The sequence below is a fragment of the Homo sapiens genome, chromosome 10 (assembly GCF_000001405.40).
Source record: "Homo sapiens chromosome 10, GRCh38.p14 Primary Assembly".
Taxonomy (NCBI): domain Eukaryota; kingdom Metazoa; phylum Chordata; class Mammalia; order Primates; family Hominidae; genus Homo; species Homo sapiens.
Window position 1 is genome coordinate 59,861,126 of NC_000010.11, and position 12,313 is coordinate 59,873,438.

The following is a 12,313-nucleotide window of genomic DNA, read 5'->3' on the forward strand; positions in this document are numbered from 1 at the left end:
CCAAGATCTCACCATTGCATTCCACCCTGGGTGATGGAGTTAGACTATCTCAAAAAATAATAAAAATAAATTTAAAAAAAATAATAATCCGGGTGCGGTGGTGTGTGCTTGTAGTCCACTTACTCAGCAGGCTGAGATGGAAGGATCACTTAAACCCAGAAAGGTTGAGGCTGCAGAGAGCCTTGATCGTGCCACTGCACTCTAGCCTGGGCAACGGAGTAAGACTTCATCTCAGAAAACAAAATAATTTACCTTGGTCTCTACTGGTCTTCTACACACAATGTCTGGCATTCAATCAAAAATTACCAAAAAAAAAAAAAAAAAAAAATCACAAGAATGTAAAAACAAAATCAAGATACAAGACAACAGAAAAGTCTCAGAGATGACCTAAATGTAGGAATTATCATACAGTGATCTTAAATAACCATGCTTAAGATGTTTAAAGATCTAATGGAAAAGGTAAACAACATACATAAACATATGGGAAATTTCACTGAGATAGAAACCAGAAGAGTTAAATGGAAATGACAGGAATTAAAAAACTAATTAGAGATGAAGAATTCCTTCAATGGGCTCATTAGTAGATTTGGCATGGCTTAAGAACCTTTACTCAGTAAACTGAAAGATAAGTCAACAGAAATTATTTTAACAAATAAATTGAAACAAAGAGTGATGGAGGTGAAGAACAAACAGATTATCCATGGGTTATCAAATGGTCCAACAATTCTTTTCTTCTAATACTCCAGTTACACTGGTAAGACAGAAGACTTGAGAAGATATGGCGAAAGTTTCTTCCAAAATTAATGAAACAGAATGAACCACAGATCCAAGAAGCTCAGAAAGTCCCAGTCAGGATAAATTCAAAAGAACAGAAAACAGACCCATCTCCCCAAATAATTATAACCAAACTAGAGAAAATCGAAGACAAAAGGAAAATCTTCAAGGCAGCCAGAGAAAAAGGACAGTATAAAAATAGTGAAAAGGCAGCCCTGAAACTGAAGGATACTTATAATACATTGTAACAAACAAGTGACTGGTATCCTACATAAAGAACAACTTGATAAAGAAATATAACCTCTGGCCCAGCATGGTGGCTCACCCCTATAAACCCAGCACTGTGTGACCCCGAGGCAGGTGGATCACCTGAGGACAGGAGTTCAAGACCAGCCTGCCCAACATAGTGAAACCGTGTCTCTGCTAAAAACACAAAAAATTAACCAGGCACGGTGGTGAACGCCTGTAGTCTCAGCTACTCAGGAGGTTGAGGCATAAGAATCGCTTGAACCCAGGAGGCAGAGGTTGCAGTGAGCTGAGATCATGCCCCTGCACTCCAGTATGGGTGACAGAGCCAGGTTCTGTCTCAAGAAAAAAAAAAGTATATATATATATATACACACACACACACACACACACACACACACACACACACACATATATATACACATACACACACACACACATATATAAAACCTCTGATGGGAAAATGACACAAGCAGGCATTTTTAAAAATGAAGATTAGAATGATAAATTATTAGAAGTTCATAATCACCCTCAGAAGTAGTTAAAAAGGTTTAAGATCACAGTATCTGACATCCCAGATTGACAAAAATTAACAAGTTTGATAATATCAAGTGTTGACAAGTATCAAGATCAGTGGGAATTCTTATATAACGTATATGGCAGTGTACATTGGTACAAATATTTTGAAAAACTAAATATTTTTGTACTCTACTATGTAGCAATTCTACTACGAGGTATATGCCCTACATAAAACTCTTCCATGTATAGAAGAAAGCAGTTGTAACATATTCATTGTGTTGTTGATCCTTAAATAAAATACTGGAAACACCCCGAATACCTACTCAGAAGAAAAACAGTATATTCACACAGAAAATTAAAAAGCAATGAAATCAAAAGAAATACATTAAATACAATATGAATAAAGCTAAGAAACACAGTATGGTGTGAAAGAAGCTGCAAAAAAAATACATTTTTTAATAAACTAAAAAAACAGAAGAAATGATATATTGCTTAGAGATAACTTATGAGATGAGGAGGTGGGAGGAACAGAATAGGAATGAAATTCACAGGTAGATGCAATGGTATCAGTACCATTCTTGAGTGGTAGGAATCCAGGTGCTCATTTTGTCATGCTTTATAACTTACACGTGTTATATGGTCCACTTTTGTTTGAATAAAATATTACATAATGAAAATGTTAAACAACGTTATAAATATAACTTGGTGGATAAATCATTTTCCCTCTTAGAATTCATAGATGTTACAATACAAAGCTCAAAAATATTATGCTACGTGATAGAAGCTTAATGCCAAAGACCACATATTATATGACCCCACTTATAGAAAATGCCCAGAATGGGCATATTTATAAAGACAGAAAGATTTGTGGTTGTGTAGGGTTGGGGCAGGGAAGGGTGGGTGGTGGGGAGAGGGATAGTGAGTGCTAAAACTAGATTATAGTTCAACTCTGTAAATATAATAAAAACCACTGAACTGTACATTTTACACGTGTAAATTTTATGGTATATAAAATTCTATCTCAATAAAGCTGTTTTTTAAAAAAGCATTCTCTATAACATGCACGCTTTTCATATATCAGAAATATCAATGAAATATAAAAATGTTAAATGACCTTAGAAAGCAAGGAGATACAGACTTAAATATATGACATAATTCAATAAAACATGAAAAAGCCCTAACTTTACATCACTATAACAATTCACTGTAAAAAATGGGGCATATCTAATACTTATCACTTTGATATATCTAGAAAAATAGCTAGCCCATCGTTCAAATATCATCTCTAATATAGTTACAGGCACATTCCAACTTATAAATGCTCTAAAAGTCACAAATGTTCTAATTTATAAGTTGGTTGTTGGGATAACATTTTCTATTGCAACAACATAAACTACAGTTAGTTCCCATGGCCAGCTTTAAAAAACTCATTCATGCCATGATGTAACTGAATTCTGCTATGAAATGTAGTCTGAATCTGGGTCCTAAAAGCAAAGATTCAAAGTAGAAGAAAGTTCCCCCCACCTTTAAGTATGGAACCAGTTTAAGGCATAATTTTCAAAAGCTACCTTGGTAGTTTCTTATTCTTCCTCTCAGAATTCTTTATCACCTACTGCTACACTTATCAGATGCAGAGTCCACTCAAACTGCTAAGTCCCTAACTCCAGTAAAGCATAACAACCAAACAATCCTTTCTCGAAAATAAATCATGCCCGCAAATCAGCAACCTTCTTTTCCTTACAAAACAAAGTTAGCACCTAACAACCCTTTCAGTGGGCAACTGAGAAGAAAGCAGACTGATCCAAATTATTAATATACTAAGATGTGAAAGGCTTTCTTAACCCTGATGATTGTTCTGCGGGGTGTAGGAGGGCAAGATAGGATCCCTGCCAGAGTATTTTCTGCCAGAACAAGCTTACTCAATCAGTTACCTATTGTTATGTAACAAACCATGCCAAAACTTAAGGCTATAAACAACAACAATGTACTGTCATTACTCTATGGGTTAATGGGTGGTTTCTTGGCTGGTTTCACTGGGCTCACTCACATGGCCGCATTCAGGGGGAGGTTCAGCTGAGACCCAAGATCAAAGCCAAGATCAAGGGATAGGAAACAGACTCCCACCTCTTAATGACAGAAACAGTATAGACCTCCTCAGATGTATGCATGATATATAAAAAAGAGATCAGACAAAAAAGGGCTGTGCCTAACAAGTCTCAAACCACACACATTTGTAAGAACAAGAGTCACAAACTACAAGGGAGCAATGAGTATATCGGTGTTCTGTGTTTGTGATTCACATCAACGATTAACTTAATACGCGATCTTCAAGTTGATCAAATTACTACCTCCAAAACGTTTTAGCTCAGAAGCTACTGGGGAAGTTCTTCACTGCCCTTGGAAGATGTGTTGTTAATTATGGAGGCCTCTAACCAGCTATTTACGAGAAACCTATCAATGTCCCACCCTCTACATCTCTACCTATACCTGACACCCGAGGTTTCCAACCCTGGCCCAGGGGCAATGACTAACACCTGAAGACCGGGATATAACATTCCAACAGCTATACATGCTTGGAAAACCTGCGGTGTTTCTCAGTTGCACCTGTGCAGAGAAAAGGAAGTAATCAAGCACCTCCTAACTTCAAAGAATCAACAGGGGGAGCTCTGTGATAAAGTGACCTCTGCAACAGAAAGTAGGGCCAATTACAGACAGAGATGACTGCCAAATCCAAGGCTCCTCCCACCCTTTCCCGGCAAGGTGCATTCCCCAAGACAGAGAAATCTTAAAGGAAATTAAAAACAACAAAACAAAATAAAAATCCAAACAAAGAATAAAACCCACTGGCAGTTGATCTCCATTTGGAGGTTGAATGATTGTAAATTGATTGCAAAAGAATATGATTCTAGCTGGGCACGGTGGCTCACGCCTGTAATCCCAGCACTTTGGGAGGCCGAGGCGGGCAGATCACGAGGTCAAGAGATAGAGACCATCCTGGCCAACATGGTGAAACTCTGTCTCTACTAAAAATACAAAAATTAGCTGGGTGTGGTGGCCCGTGCCTGCAGCCCCAGCTACTTAGGAGGCTAAAGCAGGAGAATCGCTTGAACCCAGGAGATAGAGGTTGCAGTGATCGAGACAGGGTCACTGCACTCCAGCCTGGTGACAGAGAGAGACTCCATCTCCACAAAAAAAAAAAAAAAAAAAAAAGAATACCATTCCAGATTAAATACTGGCCATGCATCATTCACTGTGTACCTACACCAGGAACCCTAAATTTCTAAATAAGTTCCTATGACTTCTGACATGGGCAGGGTGAACCTCAACACTAGCCCCAGAAGTTTATCTTCCATCTGCCTCCTCTCCCCACGCCCCATAATAAGTTCCCAACCAGAACTGCTGCCAAGTAGAAAAATAAGCTACAATCATTCGATTTCTAAAAGTTAACATCTGTGATGGAGAATCTCCTGCATGGGAAGCACCGTGTGGAATGTGACACTGCATACGACAGACACTGTCCCCACCCTGAAGGGGTATATAATCCTCCTAGCAATTAAAGAAAAGCAACATCATTAATCCATACATTTAGCAATTGGCCTTGGAATGATCTTGTCTTGGCTACATAAATAGCCTCAAGAATAAAGAGATTTAAAATGGGATTAAGCTGCACAGAGGAAAAAGCTAAGCATTTTTATCTACTACAGTAACAGAAGAAATACAAGAGACTACTCAAGGCCTAAGGTCTGGCACATAAGCATCCAAACACCTGCTGAATAGGGAGGAGCATAAACATACAGAAATATACCAGCTGTATATATGCATATACTCGTATAACACTGGACAATCATCCTTGATAATGGAGGAGAATGTTTAAGTATTGATTGTATTCCTGGCAACATGGCAGGCTCTTCCATACAGTATCACATCCATACACTGACTCCACACATTTCGGCCTCACGTCGTATATAGGGAAACTAGCTCAGAGAGGTCAAGCAACCTGCCTGAGGATCTCAGCTACAAAGTTATGAGGGCTATGATTCAAGCAAACCCTGGAATGGCTCCAAGGCTCCTAGTCCTTCTATGGTCTAAACTCAACAATCCAGTAACAATACCTTCCTCTGATCCAAAGGCTGCAGCATCATTCTCCAAAAGTCACTAACTTCCCACAAAAGTCAACATTATTTACGCTGCTGTCAGTGCCTGAACATCACAAAGCAGCTCATCTTCAGAATGACAAGCCCTGTAATTTGCTTTCTCAAACTGAGGGTAACTAAATGTTGGGTGACCAAGAGGTACTCTTTCAGACTTGCAAAAAAGCCACTTTCTGCTATCGCTGCCATCACTTCAAGTAGTAGAATACATATTCCCTGATGGCATACACGCCATACATAGTGTTCCTGTGTGTTGACAGCAAGCTTTTGTAGGGTAAATGCACCAGAGAGCAACAACTTAAGCATATCCCCAGAATGACCCATATGGCAGAGGCACCTGAATGTGTGTTCTGAGATAGGGAATTTGGGAGTGGCCAACCTGGAGGTTCACATCTTGTAGACCAAAAATAAAATTCTAAGCCTCCCCCAACCACCTGATGGACCCCTTCTCTCAGCCAAGGGCATTCCAAAGTTAGCCTGAAAAACTGATTCAGGCCATGATGGAAGAGAGGGTCACACATGCCTCATCATACCCTCCCTCCCTTTTTGAATTCAGGAAAAGCCAACCAGCATTAACATCAACATAGACCTTAAGTCTGATAAGAAACATTTATAATCTATTCTCTCTGAAGCCTGCTACTTTGGAGGCTTCATATGTATGATAAAACCGCAGTCTCCACAACTCCTTAACATAACGCAGACATTCCTTTCTATTGATAACTTTTTCAACCAATTGCCAATCATTTGTTTGTTTCTGAGACAAGGTCTCACTCTGTCACCCAGGCTGAAGTGCAGTGGCACTATCATGGCTCACTGCAACCTTGACTTCCCGGGCTTGAGTAATTTTCCCACCTCCGCCTCCGGAGTAGCTGGGACTACAGGTGCATGATACAATGCCCAGTTAGCTTTTGTATTATTATTATCACTATTTTGGTAGAGATGGGGTTTCGCCATGTTGCCCAGGCTGGTCTCGAACTCCCGGGCTCAAGCAATTCTGCTCATCTCAGCCTACCACAGTGCTGGGATTACAGGTGTGAGCCACTGTCCCCGGCCAAGAAAAATTTTAAATCTACCTATGACCTGGAAGCCCCCACTTTGAGTTGTCCTGCCCTTCCAGATCAAAACAATGTAAATCATACATGAATTGATTGATGTATTATGTTTCCCTAAAGTGTACCACAAACAAGCTGTACCACCTTGAGCACATGTCATCAGGACCTCCTGAAGCTTTGTTACAGGCGTGTCCTTAACCTTGGCAAAATAAACTTTCTAAATTGATTGAGACCTGCTTCACAGGCGTGTCCTTAACCTTGGCAAAATAAACTTTCTAAATTGATTGAGACCTGCTTCAGATACTTTTGAGCTCACAATCTGAGCTCATCCCATCCTGTGGAACATGCACTGTACAGAGGATTAAGGCCCTGAGTTTTGGGGTAAATGAAGGTTGCCAGGTAGAAGTTATTAAGGGGAAGGTGCTAAGTGAAAATTCTATACAAACTGCATGCTGTTTGCAAGGGTTGCTGTTTTCCTGCCAAGCCCACCACCACTGGACCGTGTGATTTTCCTGCCCAGCCCACCACCACTGGGCCATGCAGATACGTTGTCCAGCCCGCCGCCACTAGACCGTTCCTGTGATTAAGGTGGTTCTTCTATTCAGCTCACTGCCACTGGACACTCTTCCCTGGATGAAAGCCTCTAATAAAACCCCACATCTCATTTGCTGGCTCCAGGTCTCTTATTTGGCCTTTTGAACCTGGTGCCCTCCCTACTGAGGTTGATAGGGGTTTGGCATGACAACTCTAATTTAACTTTATTCTTCACGCTTTCCTCCCCTTCTCTTTCATGGCTCACTGTGCCTAAGCGTTACAAACAATATGGTTTATGATGAACACCTGCTTTCCTTTGAGATTCTGGAACTTTGGTACATGCTAAGCAGAGCCAGCCCCCAGTAAAAACCCTCGGCTCCAATGAGCTTCCCTGGTAGATGACACTTCACACGTGTGGTTACAATGCCACATTGGGGGAATTAAGCACATCCTGTGTGACTCTACTGGGAGAGGACTCTTGGAAGCTATGCTTGGTTTCCTCTGGACTTTGTCCCATGCACCTCTTTCTTATGCCAATTTTGCTTTGCGGCCTTTTGTTCTAATACATCTTAGCCATGAGTATTACTAGATACTGAGTCCTGAGTCTTTCTAGCAAATCACCAAACCTGAGGGTGGTCCTGGGGACTCCTGACACACCCTATATCTAAAAAGAATGCCTTTAACCTGTCTTTCAAAAGCCAATGGGAGCCATAGGAAAGAGCACACTTCATCCCTACCACGCCCTAATGATCTCAGTGTAGTGCTATAAACTATAGCCCAAAGTCTTCCAGTTAAGTGCAACTTTACTAAGAGGGACATGAGAGCACTTAGCCAGAAAAGCCTCCCTCAGATCTCCAGACTTAACCAACTGCCAACCTGTCGTCACCACCTGGACAGCATATAGGCACCTCCAACATAATCGACCCCAAACACCTCTCTGGATTCCTTCCCCTCTGTCCTAAGCAGTGAGACATGGACTTGCTCAGGCAAAAAAAAAAAAAAAAAAAAAAAAAAAAAACAGAAAAAAGAAAAAAAAAAAACAGAAACAAAAACAAACAAACAAAAAAACCAGCAAGAAGTAAGCCTTGGTTTTCTTTCCCTCACTACCCTTGTGCCTATTTAGCCCATCAGAAAGTCCTGTTTCTAATGGAAATAAATCTTGAATGTCTTTCTGGCCTTCTCATTGCCTTTGCTCCAGCCACTATCATTCCTCATCAGGCTTACAACAGCCGCCTACCTGGCCCTGCTGATCCTTCCACTCTTGTGCTCATACAACCCGTGCTCATTCTGCACACCCACAGTTTTAGAGATGGAAAACTGACCACTTTGTTACCCTGCTCAAACCCTCCAAAGGCTTCCCATCACACTAAGAAATAGTGATTCCTTGCCCTGGATCATCTACCGGCCCTCCCGTGGTCCAGCCTCTGCCTGCCTCTTGCCCCGACACCCACGACACTCCAGCCACTCCAGCATATCTGTTCCCACACATGCCACACTCATGATCCCTGTTGTGGTATCCAGGTACTAGCTAGATTCTCTGCCCCATAGCAGGCTGGCTACCTGTCATCTCAGATCCCCCTGAAGAGGCTGTCTCAGCCATCAAACCTAAAGAGCCCTCACCACCATTCACCACCCCATTACACTACCTTCTTTCCATCGAGGATGTATCTTGCCTACTGCCACAGAGATATCTTTTTACTGTTTGTCACCCCCACCAGAATGTAGGCTTATGAGCACAATCAGGGCCACTGGTGACTTCAGAACCTACAATTGTGCCTGGCATATGGCAAGTACTCCGATACTGGTTAACATATGGGCAACTCATTGAGACGTGGAAAAAGGCTTCTCTTAAACTCAACCTTTTCTCCCCACCCGCCTCTGCTGGTTAACTGAAGTTCAAAGCACTGAGTCAAGTTCTCATGACAGAAAAAATAAGGTACTATCACTGCTCTTGGAGGAGCTCAGAGTCTAGTAGTTCCAGATCCATCACCACTTTTCACACCCCCACATCCACTTGCACAGATGCCACTGATACCAAAACACAGCACTATACTTGGTAGCTCTAACTCTTCCATCCTGTCACCACTGTTGGATCATGAATAGAGCTGCAGTGGATGGTACGTGAGTGACCCCCAGCATTAACTTTCTTCATCCTCTTTTTGAAAAGAGGACTCTCCTACAATCTAGAGGACCACCCAGCTAGATTACATATCCCAGACTCCTGGACAGGTAGGTGGGGCTATGGGGCTAATTTCTGACAAACAGGAGATGGATGGAAGTGGTATGCAACTTTGGAGTCATAGCTTTTAAAAAGAAGCAGTTATCCATGCTGCTTCCCACTTTTCACAGGCTGGAATCGAACTAGAAGTTATAAGGCAGGTCCCACCACAATGGCAAGGCTAACATCCCGCAAGATGGTACAGCTATGAAATAGGAAGACCCCAGTGAACAACCTCATGGAGGAGTCAACCACCAGCCCGGGACTATTAAATGAGAGCACCATGAACTGAGCAGCTGTATTTGGGGGTCTCCCCATCAGCAGTTTAGCCTCTGCCATACACAATTCCTGAAATGAAAACTCATCAGTATGAGAGGAGAGTCAGTCAGATCTATGTTTAGAAATGAAAAGCTCGCCTGAGATACAGTAAATTGGAGAGGCAAAATGCTAAAGACTATGCACATTATGATCCCATGAGTGAAGTTTTATTTAACAAGAATATATAAATAAAATGCTTTCATGTATTATACATGAGGAGAGTTTATATTATATAAACATGTATAAGTATTATGTATATAATTGTAAATATTTTAAAAATTAATAGAACTGTGTCTAAGAAATGTTAACAGTGCCTCTGGAGTTGTTAAAGAGGCTAATCTGTCACACCACATTCGCAGAGCTAAGAACACCGCCTTGTATATACGAAGCACTCAAGTACGTAAAAATAAACATTCACCTTGTGTTTACATGTGTATACACGTACACACAAATCTCGGAGGGACTGCTTTGTAGGCAATGGATTCCCAAAGCTCAACATCAAGATTTCACTGGCATCACCTAATACTCATTAAAAAAAAAAAAAAAAAAAAAAAAAGTTGATGCACTACTGATGCCCAGACCCTTGCCCTGACAAACTGGGTCAGCTCTGAGGGATGGGGCCCCAAGGTTCCATTGAACAGTTTGGTTGGAGAGCCTGGAGCAGATAAAAAGATACAGCGCTAGCTAATCAGGAGACCTTAGCCCTCGTCCTGGTTTTGCTGTTAACTCTTAATTAACCTTGGCAAGCTACTTTCTTTCTTCAGCCTGCCTACATTTCCCCATCTGTAAAATGGGAGATAATATGAAGTCCTTTATGGCACAGCACACATCCTGCCTTGTGAGGGGGCAGGGGATCCACGCTGCTTTGAACAAAAATTCCCACTAAGTATTCCCCAAATTCAGTTGCTAATTGGCAAAAGAAAAAAAAATAGCACTCTGATTAAATATAAGGATACAAGTTCTCCTCCAAAAGTAAAAGGCTCCTCAAACAAGGGACTTAAAGGGAGGAAGAAGGGAAATGGATTACAGGAAACTAGAAAATTCTCAAGTATAAAGAAAATAAGGAGCCAATTATTAAAAGCACTGCTAATGTTATCCATCCCTTGTAACCTCTGTGCTTACACATTTTACAAAATTGGTTCACATTACACGCACACTGTATCCTCACTCCACTTACTAGATTTTAACTATCTCTATGATTAAATGTTCCTCCAATAATTTTTGATGTTGTAAACAACCTATCTCACTGATGTGCCAAAACCATCTCTCTACTGCCTGACATTCCTTCCAGTTGTTTCCAATGCTTCTGCCCTTTGAAGAATCGTTACAATGAACATGCTTGAACAGTCTGAGGCTGTGCTAGCTGGATGTTTCTTCCAGCAGATTCCCCAACCTTGGGTATCAGTATTCAGTTAAGATACGGAGACTTAAGCAAACAGCTGCCTACATTTGCAGCTACAAAGCTGTGTCTGTTTCCTGTGCTGTTGCAGGTAAGAAAATGGTAGCCAATTTACATCCTGTTCCTTGTCTCCTTGCTCGTGCGAAGGTGTCCAGGGGTTGGGCTTCTGAACTGACTTTCTATGGAAGCCAATTCCTCCGAAGAAGTAAAAGACACACTGCTTTAACTATAAGGCTGGCTTTGTGAGTTGGAGGTTATTGATGTATGAACATTTTCTAGTTTTCAGTGAGTAAAGAGGGACGGAAGGTTTAACCTCTAGCAAGGGGTTAACTTTCAGCATCAAGTTTCTATTCTAGTTGGACACAAGGATTTCATGGTCAAACTACATCTCACCACCTTGATACCTGGGGCTGCATCCAGTCAAAGAGGATAACTTTCCAGATGGGGGGGTGGGGGAAGGTAACAACATTAGAAAGTGCATAAGCAGTAACTCTTCCCTGCTAGAACTTCTAAGAAATATTGCTAAGCTGTCATTAGGAATTAAGGTGAAAATCTAGCACAGGTCCTCGATCCTTTAAACACAATTCCAAAACCCAGAAGACTGAAAACCGAAAGCTACATTTGGCAAGCAACCAAACAACTGCGTTCACTTGGTGGCAAGCCTGATCTGAATTGACATGAGGCTCTTTGCAGCTTTATCATCAAACTTAGCATGCCTGTTCACATGTTTTGCTGAGGTGGTTTGATGTGTCTGCTGTTTCAATCCTCTGGCGGTGCTACAGTATACGTGGTAGGTGCTCAGTACCTTTCCATAGCTCCACTCCCTTTTATGGGATGGACTGTGTCCTTGAAAAAGATATGTTCAATTCCTAACCCCACATACTTGTGAATGTGACCTTATTTGGAAATAGGTTCTTTGCAGATGTAATCAAGCTAAGATGAGATCACTGGAGTGGGCCCCAATCCAATACGACTGCTGTCCTTATAAGAAGGGAAAATACAGACAGAAACATACAAGGAGAAGATGACCACATGACTTCAGAGGCAGGAACTGAAGTGCTGCAGCTGCAAGCCAAGGAACGCCTGGAGATACTAGAAACTA

At 41.4% G+C, this 12,313-nt stretch overlaps 1 protein-coding gene across 1 annotated transcript in view, besides 1 other annotated feature; it reads right to left on the minus strand.

Moving 5' to 3' along the window:
• The window catches only part of CCDC6 (coiled-coil domain containing 6), a 117,810-nt gene that overhangs the window by 72,379 nt on the left and 33,118 nt on the right, over positions 1-12,313 (minus strand). The gene's annotated exons all lie outside the window — the stretch shown is intronic.
• Positions 11,866-12,160: an enhancer, noted in NCBI's record as "tiled region #3861; HepG2 Activating DNase matched - State 23:Low". NCBI's record gives its function as "activates a minimal TATA promoter and a strong SV40 promoter by Sharpr-MPRA in HepG2 cells {active_cell/tissue: HepG2}" and the evidence as "EXISTENCE:reporter gene assay evidence [ECO:0000049][PMID:27701403]".